The following is a 14,448-nucleotide window of genomic DNA, read 5'->3' on the forward strand; positions in this document are numbered from 1 at the left end:
AACTATTGCCACCTGTTTTTGAAAATACAGTTTCTTGGAACACAGGCACACTTTGTTTATATGTTATCTATGGCCATTTTCAAGCTGGTACAGAGCTGGGTTGTTGCAACAGAGGCCAAATGACCTAAAAATTATAAAACATTTACTACCTGGCTCTTAACAGGAAAAGTTTGCTAACTCCTGCTCTAATCTCTATAACCTTGAGAATGGACTTTCTAAAATCCAAATCTCATTGAGACTTCTCCTTATTTAAAACAATGACTCTCAGTATTCTCAGGATACATTTTTTGTATGTTTTACAATACCCCCCAACTTAACCCAGCCTCTTTCTACCTAAAAGGATAACTTCCTTAATAGTTAAACTATTTTGGAGTTCATGCTATTCCAGTTTTGTGTCTTGGTGCATATAATTCCCTCTAATTAAATATCCTTCTTTCTATATACATATTCAATTTTCAAAGTCATGTGCATCTCTTAAAAGCCCAGTAAAGCATCTAGTCTTTGGTAAAGTCTTTCCAAGTCTATATCATGTAGGCTAAATCACTAAAACAGGAGATAAGAGACATACACTGTTTCTCCAAAGAATGATTTGAGTACCTTCTGATAGTATTAATAATAATTTTAGTTAATAGGCCAATGAATCTCTTTCATTTCAATAATTGCAGCTGTTCTTTCATCTGTTAGAAAAAATATGTTTACAACTTCAAACCCAAGATATCATGGACATTCACATTTAGGACAAATCTAAGATTGGTAGGCAAATTTAATAAGTGAGCCAATTTAAAGCAAAATATTTGTAAAGAAAAATGACACACGAATTTTGAAGGAATCATAAACCAAGTTACTGAAGTTTGGGAAACACTGCTGTGATGAGAGGCAGTGAAGTCTTACAGCCTGATATACTGGATAAATGGACACACTGTAATCTGAATCACTAGAGTAGGAGACTGTGGCAGCTCATTCCTAATCTCGTTATATAATAATTACAAACTTTCCAAGCCTCCTCCCATCCACAGAAAAATAATTCTAATATTCAAGGTCCTCTAACTCTGGTGATACTGAGAAAAGCAAAATAAAATGGGAAGATTTAGGAAAACATAAACCTGGTAGCTTATTATTCCAGAATCCTAATCCCCAGAGGACTAAAGTACACTCAAAGCTAGAGTGGGACCACAAAACACATCCTTTTCCAGGCACCACAGTTAAAAGGGGGAATTTGATGAACCAAAATGATTCCAGAGGAACATGGACAGTGCTTATAGTAATTCCCAGACAGTAGTTATAGTCATTTTTCTCATTTCTCAGAATGGTTTCTTTTTATTCTAACAAATTGTAGATATGCGTTACACAACCAAGGACCTGGGCTGTACAGCCTCAGTTACCCCACAAGATAGAAACCCCAGCAACCCCAAAGGCTCTGGTTGCTGAACTTAAGATAATATAGTTTTGATGCTTGAGGTTTAAAAGATATTTTATCATTATCTCCTCTCTACATAAAGTAAAACACCAGAACACTTATATTAGAAGCCATTAACAGATCATTGCAGGATACAAAGTTTGACCTGTGAGTTTCGTTTTAGGTCCGTCAGTGCAGTCATTATCAAAAGAAGTTTACACAACAGAAACATATATGCTCCATGAAAGTCAGCCCATTATGTGCATCTAATAACATTATTAATCCTAATTCCTGAGTGTACTGCTTCCTAATATGTAAATGAAAACATGAAACCAAAAATAGAACCCTCTTTTGAGAATTTAACATGTAACTGACTGCAATCAACTATTTACTGTTTTGGAAAATGTATGTGAATTCCTCAAAATGTGATTCTGTAAACTAAAAAGAAAAAAAAAGTCACTGAAATCTCAGTTCCACTCACTGAACCTGAGGGAATAGGGGGACAGGCAGTAAATAAACGGGACTTCGAATTCCATCTCCAACTTTAGAAGAGAAGCCTCCCTTTATCTGTTTTAAACATTAATTTCAACATGGGATTCCATGAAAAAAAAAAAAAAGGTTCTTTTCCTAAAATGTAAATCACAGCTGTAGGAAACATTACTTTTTTCAAGATAAGACTAAAATAATAGGTTTCAGCACTTGAGGTCAAAAGCCCTTGGGTTGAATCCTGCTCCTGTGTTTGAGTGATATTGGGAAGTCTCATAATGCTTCCAAACCTCAAGTTGTCATCTATAAATCTGGAATATTTGGAATGATATTTACTGCTTCACTTGCTACATATGCTCCATCCACATTATTGACTCTTCTTTTCCGATATTTTCAAACCTGGAAAGCTCTTTCCTGCTTCAGAAACTTTGGGCAATCTGTCTTCTCCTACAAGAATGTTTTCCCATCCACTTCACAGGGCTAATTCTTCTTCATCATTTGGATTTCAGTCTAAATATAACTTCCCACGGATGGATTCCCTGACCATTCTATCTAAAATATATTCACCTCTGATATTTTTTATGTTAATTTATTTCTATTTCCTTTGTAATACTTGTCATAATGACCATATATTTTAATTTTCTGTTTATTTTTGGTCTATCACCCAATGTAAGCTCCATGAAGTCAGAAGGCAGGTTTCTGATTAATTCCTAGCACTTAACACAGTATCTGCACCAAGTAAGACCTCAACAAGTACATTTTGAATGAATGAATAATTCAAAGGGTTCTTGGGCAGAATGAATGTGATAGTGGATATAAAACATATTTGTAAACCTAAATCACCCTTTATAGGTAATTTTTTTAAAAAAATTCACTACTTATTTTGGCTCAAACTCTCTGAATGGAATGTGGGTTTAAGAATGAAGACTCTGATCCTATAGAACTAGATTGGGACCTCAGCTCTTCTGCTTAAACTTATGTGACTTAGGGCAGAAAACATAATCTCAGTCATTATCTTAGAGGTTGGCTATGAGGATTGAAAAAGATAATGGATCAAGAGGGCTTAGCATAATCCCTGTCACATAGCAAGCCCTTAGTAAATAACAGATGACTGACCTTTGTTGCTACTAACTAGGGGACCAACCATTTCAGTTTTCCATGGACTAAGGGTTTTCCTAGACATGAGACTTTGCATATTAAAATAAGAAAGTCACAGACAAACCAGAATGGTTGGTCACTCTATCATAAACACGCCTTTGTACTCAGCCCCTAGTGCTCCTTCCATATTTCCCAACTCACTCAGACCAGATAACCTATACCATAGTCAGCCTTAGCCAGTACAGCAGTATCTTCCAAATGATCTCAAAACCTCATCTGATAGGCCTTCATGTTGTGGTCATAATTCGACGGCATACAAAGGGATTCCATAGAAGGGAGAGAAACTGCATGGATGATTGCTACTTCTTCTCCCAAATGTTTTATTAGCTAACCACATTTCATCCTTTCTCCAAATCTACTGTCTTACCCTTCTCTGCAATCCCAAGGATTCAGGGAAATAAAAAATAACTCTCAGTGCTAAAAATGTATTCTTAGGATTTAAATTTTAATAGGATAAATAATAAATGTACTCTCTTAAACTATACAATTCAGTGGTCCTTAATATATACAGAGAGTTGTACAACCATCACTGCTGTTTAACTTCAGAAAAATTTTCATTAAAAAGAAACCTCTACCCCTCTGTCATCTCCCCCACCCCAGTACCTGGAAACCACTAGTCTACTTTTTGTCTTTATAGATTTGTCTATTATGGACAATTCATATAAATGGAATCATATAACATGTGGCCTTTTTTGTCTTCTTTCACTTGGTATAGATTTTCAAAATTCATCCATGTTGTAGGATGCATCAGTTATTTGTGCCTTTTTATGGCTGAATAATACTTCACTGTTTAGATATATCACTTTTCATTTATCCATTCATCCATTAATGGACATTGGGTTGTTTCCACTTTTGGCTAGCATGAATAATGTTGCTATGAACATTCATTTACCTTGGGTATAAACCTAGGAGTTAAATTGCTGGGGTATATGAAAACTTTAACTGAGGAACTACCAAACTGTTTTTCAAATCAGCTGCAGCATTTTACAATCCCAGTAAAAGTATATGAGAGTTCTAATTTTTCCATATCTTTACCAACACTTGTTATTGCTCATCTTTTTAATGATAACCATCCTAATAGGTGTGAAGTGGTATCATAATCATGAAAACCATGGTTATGATTTTCATTTCCCAAAAGATTTAATGATGTTATATATCTTTTCATAGGCTTCATTGAAGAAATGTCTATTCAAATCCTTTGCTCACATTTTACTCAGATTATTTACCTTTTTATTGTTAAGTTGTAAGAGTTTTTTATATATTCTGGATACTAGTTCCTTAATGGATGTTGACTTACGGATATTTTCTCTCATTATGTGGGTTTCTTTTCACTTTATTAACAGTGTCCTTTGAAGTGCAGGAGATTTTAATTTTATAAAGTACAATTTATCTATTGCTGCTTGTGTTTTTGGCATCATATCTAAGAAAACATTGCTTAATCCAAGGTCACAAATATCTCCTCTGTTTTCTTCCAAACGTTTTAAGTTTTAACCGTTACATTCAGATCTTTGACTCATGTTGAGTTAGATTTGTATATGGTGTGAGGCAGGGAATTCAACTGTATTGTTTTGTATGTAAATACACAGCTATCCCAGCACTGTTCGTTGAAAATACTTATCTTTCCTCATTTAATTGTTTTATAACCTTCATTGAAAATCAATTGACCACAAATTTAAGGATTTATTTCTGAACTTTCAATTTTATTCTATTGGTCTATATGTCTATCTTTGTGCCAATACCACACTCTCTTGATTATTGTAGATTTTCATAGTAAGCTTTGAAGTCAAGAAGTATGGGTTCTTAAAATTTGCTCATTTTCAGACTGTTTGGCTATTCTGGGTACTATCCTCAGGAAGTATTAAACGTATTGTCAAAGAATAATGCATAGATATGTTCTGCACAGTAGTTCTAAGGGTAAAATACAAAAAAAGATCTAATAACATATAATTAGTTTCTAATAATATAATACATAATTATAGCACATCTATAATTAATACTTTCTGGAAAAGAGTTAGTAAATGGAATTGTGTCACTGTCTATGGTAATGCTACAAATATCAATGCTCTAATGCCCACTAACTTTATTTGCATGAAAGCCAATATTTTCCAAACTTTCCATTTTCCAAATAGTTCTTAGCATCTCCAGACACAATAGTGGAACTCGAGGGAAGTACAGTTTTCTTACGTAAGATCTTCTTTTCCCATTGTTGTGCTGCCACTTAAATATCCTTGTCCATGATTCTCTGATGTTTACTACACCTCCACCCTACTGCTCAGCTTCTTCTTATTCCAGGTCAGTTGTGAAATCCATTTTGCTTCCCATGCCCACTATTTCAGAGGGAGTTTATGCATAAGACTGATCTGGTTCCTCAACTTTTCTACTTATCTCTGTTAGCCTGAAGTTGCTTTCTTCTAAGATTATCAAGGCATTCCAAATGTGTGGCCAGGTCATGTTCATAACAAAGTGAGGGGGACAAGCGTATCTTTACACTAACTGTACATGTGCCTCCCTCCATCCTTCAAACCCCAGCTCGGGTTCTAACTGGTACTGTGTTTCTGCATCTTGGGGAAGTCAAAGGTTGATCCACTTTAGTGCACCAAATCTCTCTGGCTTTTTGCTTATAGGCTCATCCTTTTTTAGCGCTATATGATTTAAAAAAAAAAAAACTTCACTAGACATCACCTATTAACTTTTCAAAAAATAATCATGACCTAACATTAAGTTTACAAAATGTATCAAATGATGCATATTGTATGATTAAACTTTAAAAAATGTATTTATTGTATATACTCAGAAACATAAAATATTTAAGAGAATAAATAATGAGGAAACTTTTGAAAACCTACAAATAGGCCTGATTTCAATTTAGTGCTTATTACATACCAAGCTCTGTCCTTGGTACCACATAGAAATTATCTCATTCAGTATTCGAAACAATCCTACAAAGCTGAAATTGGCATTACCTTTCATTTTATAGATGATGAAACTGACACTTAGAGAGATTTAGGGACCCAAGATATAATTGCTTATAGGGAGAAAAACCAAGAAACAAATCTAGGAATTTGACTCCCAGAGCCTACAAGTTTAAATTCCTATTATCTTATCTTATGACTAGAAACTTTTATTTGGACAGAATTTTAGGAGTTTTCAAAACAGGTTCTTATATTTATCCCAAGAATGTTTAATAAACACCTAGAAAGTTCCAGACACTCTGCTAGGTGCTGAGAAAACAAAATAAAAAATAAGATACTATTATTCTCAAGCTACTACTACAAATAATATATGGTTATAAGCTTACGACAGTTAGAAAGTACTTTCCCAAACAGGACCCCTGTAAGTACATGGAAGGCAGGGGAGAGATATTTCCTTTTACATATAAAAATGAAGTACTCCAAAGTTGATTGCCTTGCCCAATGTCAAATAGGAAGTATGTACGGAAGATGAATAATATTCCTTATAACTTCACAGTAGCTCCTATGTGGCTATTGTTAAATTTTTTAAAAATGGGCCACTTTTTGAGAGGATCACTTGAGGCCAGGGGTTTGAGACCAGCCTGGTCAACATGGTGGAACCCCGTCTCTACTAAAAATGTATATAAAAAAAAAAAGCCAGGCATGGTGGCAGGTGCCTGTAATCCCAGCTGCTCGGGAGGCTGAGGCAGAAGAATTGCTTGAACCTGGGACGTGGAGGTTGCAGTGGGCTGAGATTGCGGCATTGCACTCCAGCCTGGGTGACAGAGTGAGACCTTGTTTAAAAAAAAAAATAGGCCACTTTTGCATGAAACACGCACACAAAATTTCATTGACTATAACTTAGTATAAAATTTAGTATTTTGCTTGGTATTGTTATTACATTTCTGCTGAAGAAGACAGATATTTTTCATTTATGTTTTCTACACTCCTGAGTTTATCCTGTTCTTAACCATTATGGTCTTTGCCCCAGTAATGCGTATGCTTCTTGTATTATGGTCTTTGTCTCAATAATAAGTATTCTTGAAGTTCATAGAGCATATCCAAAGTGATCCTCAAAACAGCCTATTTCCAAAGTGATCCTCAAAAGAGCCTATCTCAGTCGGTATCCATCATTATGGTCATTTTATCAACAAGGTAATTCTGATTCAGAGAAGTGAAAAGATTTTCCCAAGGTACCTTATCAATTTATTGATTTCCTCATGCTCTACTTTTTAACATACAGGTTTACACATTCGTTAAAAGCTCTAATAATGTTTTGCCATGATTACAAATCAGAAGCATCTCCAGGGTGAAAGTGCATAATGAGGGGAGAGGAAAATCTTTGTAGCTATGGGCTATTTGTAAGCCAGGAGTTTACAAATCAAGTTCTCTCTCCATTTATCTATCTATCTATCTATCTATCTATCTATCTATCTATCTATCTATCTATCGGGTCTCACTCTGTTACCCAGGCTGGAGTTCAGTGGCATGATCTTGGCTCACTGCAACCTCAACCTGTTGGGCTCATTCTCTCTCCTTTCAAAAAATTATTATATAATATAGAGATTATAATATGCAACTAGGCCGGTCAAGAAAGATTATATTTCATTTTAATGGTTTGTAAATATTTATATCAATTTCTCTTAGAGCTTTGAATCTCACTCTCAACATTCAATACCATGGAAAATGCAGAAAGTCCCCTGCATCTTGAATATGAAGTGATTTTTCTTTGTTTTTCATGAATGAAACCATTTGAAATAAGCATCATCTCTCATTCATAAAGTAGAATTCATTATATTACCTTATTTTTTAAAGAAAAGCAATAAATCTTATCTTATGGAGAGTTCCTCTTTGACTCGAGATATATTTAATTACATACATCAGAACTGTTTGGTTCTAGAAATACAGAGCTGAATAGGAAGTAACCCCTGACATTGGGCAATTCACAGTCTAATCAGCTAACTGGACAATTCAGTCACTTACTCACTAAATACTCTTTAAGTACTTATGAGATTGGGAGACTTGTCTAGACTCAGTCTTCAGTGGTCATCAAAACAGGTTTGTGCACTCATGCACTTTACAGTCCAGTGAGGGAGCAATAAAACAAAAGATTATTAAACAATATGATAAAATGTGAGAAGGAGTAAAACAACCCATGGCATGCAGAAGCTTGCCTTAGCATTGTAACACGTTGGTCTTCTACTTACATCTGGGCCTTCATGTTCTCCATTTGAGATAAACAATTTCATAGAATGTTTACATCTGACAAACTACTCTGTGACTATGAAGAAATCAAGACTAAGATAATACCACTTAATAATCATGACTAAACACAGGCAAAACATGAACATTATCAAAGTCACAAAATACCAAATATCGACTTATCTAGACTAATGTGACTGCTGCTTCTTCACCAATTACAACTTTAGCCTTAAGCTACTCTTCCCTCCTCCTAAATAATTACTCCCACTTTCTGAGGGCATTCAAACCAAAGCAAAGCCTCTTTTCCTTAAGCCTTCCACCAAATTAACCTAACAATCTCAAATCCTACAATAAGACCTTTCTAATACCCTTCTATTGACATGCCTTATGGCTCCCAGGGGTGTGTGTTCTCACAGGCTGCAGTTAATCATAAGCCCTGTTTGTACAACTATAGGTGTGTTCCTAGTAGTCTTTGGCTGGAAGAGTATGACAAAGGCAAAACTTGAAGGCAGCAATAATACCATTCTTGTTGCTCCTTTCCTCTCTTCTCCACAGGAATTCACAGGGGCATGAAGAAAATGAAAATAGATGGTCATGAACTCTTAAATTAAGGGGTAGGAAATATTTTACTCATGTATGTATTTATTCATTGAGTCATATGTTTTCTTCCAAAAATAACTTACAGTGGCTGATCTTATTCAGTGGATTCAAAGGTACAGAGTAGAGGGCAGCTCCCTGAGAACTGTTATATAAAGACAACATCCTGGCAAAAGAAACACCCAACAATAATGAAAATGGTAGGATAAGGGCACTCCAAATGACTCTGATGTTTAACAGGATACCCCTTTTTCCCACAGCTGAGGTTCCTCCTATGCTTTTCTTAACCAGGGATGATACATTAATCACCTACTGTCAGGTTCTACTTGGCTCCTGTCACCATAAGTATCTTCTCCCCTTCAACAGAAATTCTTCATTCCCCTCCCCATTCTCAGTCCCTATTCCCTACAGATAGCAAGCTCAGTCTGGTCTCGGGATCTAGAAAAAAAAATCCTCATTTTTTAGTCTTGAAGCATTTAAGAAGCTCTAGTTCAATCCTCAGGCAAATCTAAATCAATCAAGTCACTCTTGGCTTAACCTAATAATTTTCTAATAGAGCAGTACTATTCCCATAAAGGGTATTTAAAGTATGTGGGGACTTAATTTTTACTTGTCACAATGACTGTCCTGCATAGGGAAAAATTAACCCATCCAGGATCCTGATAGTGCTCCTATTGAGAAACATCTCACCATAGATGTCACATGTCTATCACATCCAACCATCCTGCTTCTCCCCACGCCCACATTAGATATCAGTAATCAAATAGTACATGCCACTGAGCTGTATGTGGCCTCAAAATGTTTATCAACATAGTAATCCAGGCATGCCTTGTCATCAGATTTGATATGGAACATAAAACCTATTTGCGATTCCTGCACATAACCTTTTAAAAAATGTGCTATTTTTTGTGGGTACATAGTGAGTGAGTATATATATTTGCGATTCCTGCACATAACCTTTTAAAAAATGTGCTATTTTTTGTGGGTACGTAGTGAGTGAGTATATATATTTATGAGGTACATTAGACATTTTGATACAGGCATACAATGCATAATAATAACATCAGGGTAAATGGGATATCCATCACCTCAAGCATTTATCCTTTCTTTGTGTTACAAACAACCCAATTATGTAGTTATTTTTAGATGTACAATAAATTATTGTTGACTGTAGTCACTCTGCTGTGCTATCAATACTAGAGCTTACTCATGCTATCTAATTATATTTTTGTACCCATTAACCATCCCCTCTTCCCTGCCCCCAATACTCTTCCCAACCTCTGGTAAACATTATTCTACTCTCTATCTCCATGAGTTCAATTGTTTTAAATGTTAGCTACCACAAATGAGTGAGAACGTGCATAATTTGTCTTTCCGTGCCTCGTGTATTCCACCTAACATAATGACCTTGAGTTCCATCCATGTTGTTACAAATGTCAAGATCTCATTCTTTCTTATGACTTTTTCTTTTTAAGACAAAAATAGCTTCATGGTTAAGATGAAGTCCTTCATCCTGCTCTATTTGCTATGCCTGTAGTCAGGCCTTGGTCATGTGACCACTCTTCAAGTCCTTCTGAGACAGGGCCCCTTTCAGGGATGTGAGCCCTGTGGCTGAGACCTTGCAACATTTCAACAGATCTCTGACAGTAAATGCCTCCCAGCATTACCTCTCTGAACATTCCTTGCTCCTAATGCACAGTGAGCTACACCCTCTAGTGGGCAAACCACATGCAGTACATTGAACTTTGGAAGAGTAACATCCTCTGTCTACTACCAACCACCTCCAGTAATGATCAGGCTCCCCAGATTTCACAAGAAAAAAAAAGCAGGGGATAGGGGGAAGAGGGGAACGGGAGATTTTATGGCTCTTCTGCCTGACAACTCCAGGTGAATCTGAATTTAGTAACAGCTGGATTCAGGGTCTCCAAAACTTCTGCTGGAAATTTCTTTCTCCAGCTCTTGGATCCATCCATTCTTTCTCCAGTGTGGTTTTTATTCATAGGCAGGCTTTCCCCACCCCACACCACCTCTATCTGCAGTGGTAGACCCTGGCAGCTTAGAGTTACGATGTCGTCAGTGGAAGAGAGCTTTCCTTTTCCAAGAAGTCTTCTAACAAAAGGTTTGAGTCTTATTACACTAGTTGGAATAAAAGGCTTATTCTTGAACCAGTCATAGCTACAAGCATGCTTAATTCTCATTGAAATGGACCAAATTATAAGGTCCTACAGGAGCCAGAGGTAAGTTGGCCTTACTGTATGAACTAGAAGATGATAAAGAATTGTTCCCCAAAGGAATATTGAAGAACTACTGCCAGAGGAGAAATAAACGCAGGTCAAGCAAACAACAGATGCTTCAACACTATACTTTCTATATGCTATCTTTGAGTCTAAGATTGTTCTCAGGCCTGGCCCAAGCTCAATCCCTTGCTATACTGCTGTCCTTATTGCAGTAAACTGTTTTGCCTGTTTTTGCTATAATAAGACTTGATACTGCCAGGATCAGAAACTTTTTATCTTGGTAGAAAGCATGAAAATGTCACCTAGAGATCTTAGCCTTCTGATGCCCACACTTTCATATCCAAATGACATGACTTGACCTTCCATTCCACAAATCACAGGAAGTCTGGTGTCCTCCCGATTGCAGAGGATCCCAGGACCTCTATGTCCTTATGGTAACTACTTGCTCTGTATCTCTAATTTTGCAAAGTTCTCCATCGGCACCTCATTTCATCTTTGGATGCTGCTGCCTCACTCCCCACCACTTTGGTGCAGATGACTCCACAGCCACTGCACACCCGCTATCTTCCTTCATTCCTCAAGCACTTTAAAGGCTATTTAGGGTAACAAATGTTTTCTGAAGGTTTGGAGTACTGGAGGAGGACAATGGCTAACACGGCCTATGAAATATGTCAGGATACTTTCAGTTAAGAGAGATGAAAATCTAAATGAAACAGCTTAGGTCAAGCAAGAAATGTGTAGGCTCATGCAATTAGGAGGATTCAGGGTGGGTCGTAATTCAGGCACAGCTTTATCCATGGACTCAGGTATTGTCAGAAGTCTCAGTCTCCATCTCTGCCCTCTGCTTGTCTCTGGATTTTATTAAATGCTGGTTTCATCATCTCCCATACAAACTCTATCTACCAGATAAGAAAAATGGCTGCAGCCACTCCAGTCTCATGTCCTTACAGCTCATGATTAGAAAAAAAAAGGCGGGGGTGGGGTTGGGAATGGGAAGAAGAGAATCCTGGAGCCCAGTCAAACATTCCCCGCAATCAGTATGCAACTGCGGTCCCCAGATAAGAGAAATAGAAGGTTTTCTTACAATGTCTATGCCAAAAGGTCAAATTTAAGCAAAGAAATGAGGATTAAATCATATCTATTATTATTATCTGGCACTAAGAAACAGTAAATGAATAATTAATACATAAAATGTCCTATTTTCAAAAACTATAGCATGTTAAGGAATTAGATAGATGAGCCTTATCATTGAAATTTTAAACTTTTAATCAAGTATTGGCTTAAACTTAGAATATTAAGTTGAAGAGATGAGAATTTTATTAAGACTAAAGATTATTGGCTGTTTGAGAAGTCGTCATTTGCCATATGTGTATGTTTAATAGAGTTATGAGTTTTATTTAAATATTTAGGAAGGTTTGGTTTATTAAACCATTGAAATGCTTAAAAGGAAAAATCGAGTGTATTATATTTATCCATTTATTCATTAATTCCTTTACTGGACAAAACTTAACTATGTATCTATCCCTATCTGTTTATTTTTGAAAAATTGGTCTATCAGTATGGTTATTTGATTTCTGTTCCCAAACTCCTCAACCAAACTGAACTGCAGGTAGAAACATATCTACTTCTCATCATAATTGTTTTATTGTACCTAACAGTGTCTGGCCCTAGAGCAAGCACTCAGAAAATACTTGCTGAATGAATGAATGAACCATGTGAGGCTCAAAATATAACCAACTTACATAAGAAGCACAACTGTTTTATCCCAGTTACTTGTGGAACACAAGGACCATCAGTTTCTGTCCCAGTATTATACTCACCTAGATGGGCCCAGCTCACCAGCATCTTCCTTCTCTTTCCTTGCAAGAGCTGAATAAGGTTGATCCACCTTCTGCCTACAGGGGAGCAAACTGTTCACTCGCCTAGGGCTACAGAGTCATCAGGTATATGAGGGGAAGCAGTGAGTCCTACGCTCAGCTGAAATATGCTATGTGTGAAGGGAAATAAGACTGAAAAGGCAGGCTGAAACCAATGCATATTGTACATGGGAACTCTGATAAGCAAGTTATATATATATTATTTAAGCCTCAGTTTAAGCAAAAAAGAGACATTGAAAGTTTTTTCTAAAAAAAAAACTACTTTATTGAAGTATGATTGACATACAAAAATTACATATATTTAATATATAAAACTTGATGCGTCTGAAGATATATACCTGTGAAACTATTACCACAATCTATGCCATGAACCTATTCATCACCTCCAAAAGTTTCTTCCTGTCTTTTCATTATGTTATGTGTGAGTAGAATACATAAGATGTATCCTCTTAACAAATTTTGTAAATACACTCTACAGTGTTGTTTGATCTCTAATCTTGTATAACCAAGTTTGTACCTTGTGACTAATACCTCCCCATTTCCCCTTCCCTCCAGTCTCTGGCAAATACCATTGCACTACCTTACTCTACGAATTTCATTATATTATGCCTCTCCTCTGTGCTACTTAGGCATCCTGGTATTCCACTGTGACAGAATTTCCTAAATTTTGCTGAAATGTTCCTTATAGATCGTGTCTCCCCACTAACTTGAGAGTAGAGACTGTTTCCTAGTCATCTCTGCAGCCCTGGTGCCTAACATATTCCCAGGTCTCAAACAGACGTTTAATAAATGTTGGCTGCCTGAAGAAATGATGGAATTCAGAATTTTTGGCATTTCAGTGTACTTTCTTTCCTAACATCTTTGCTGTCTTTCCTCTGGTAATCAAACTAAAACATCTGAACTAGAAGTAGTGACAGAGAAAATATGATTAGATTAGTCTTAGTCTGTTTTCTGCTGCTAAAACAGAATACCTGAGACTGGGTAATTTATAAAGAACAGAGATTTACTTCTTACAGTTCTTGAGTCCAGGAAGTAAAAGTTCAAGGGACCTGCATCTAGAGACTGCCTTCTTGTTGTGTCATCCCACAGCAGAAGGTAGATGGGCAAGAGAGCAAGAAAGAGAGAGAGAGTGTGCACGTGAGAGAGAGCATGAGAACGAGAGCAAGTGAGAGAGAAAGGGCCAAACTCCAAACTCCTTCTTTTATCAGGAACCTACTCCTCTGGTAACAGCATTGATCTATACATGAGGGAGGGCTCTCACGACCTAATCATCTTTTAAAAGTTCCACCTCTCAACACGATTGCATTAGACATTAAGTTTCTGTATTAGTCCATTCTCACACAGCCATAAAGACATACCTGAGACTGGGTAATTTATAAAGAAAAGAGATTTCATCAGGTCATGGTTCTGTGGGCTGTACAGGCTTCTGCTTCCTGGGAGGCCTCAGGAAACTTACAATCATGGCGGAAGGTGACAAGGAAGCAAGCACATCTTCACATGGCCTGCAGGAGAGAGCAAGCAAAGGAGGAAGTGATACATGCTTT

At 36.7% G+C, this 14,448-nt stretch overlaps 1 long non-coding RNA gene across 1 annotated transcript in view; it reads right to left on the reverse strand.

Moving 5' to 3' along the window:
• FBXO38-DT (FBXO38 divergent transcript) overlaps nucleotides 1-14,448 on the reverse strand; it is a 115,544-nt gene that overhangs the window by 96,133 nt on the left and 4,963 nt on the right. Inside the window, exon 2 of the long non-coding RNA NR_105057.1 lies at nucleotides 14,263-14,406. This is a non-coding gene — a long non-coding RNA (FBXO38 divergent transcript). The remainder of the gene's footprint in view (nucleotides 1-14,262; nucleotides 14,407-14,448) is intronic.

This window comes from Homo sapiens, chromosome 5 (assembly GCF_000001405.40).
Source record: "Homo sapiens chromosome 5, GRCh38.p14 Primary Assembly".
NCBI lineage: Eukaryota > Metazoa > Chordata > Mammalia > Primates > Hominidae > Homo > Homo sapiens.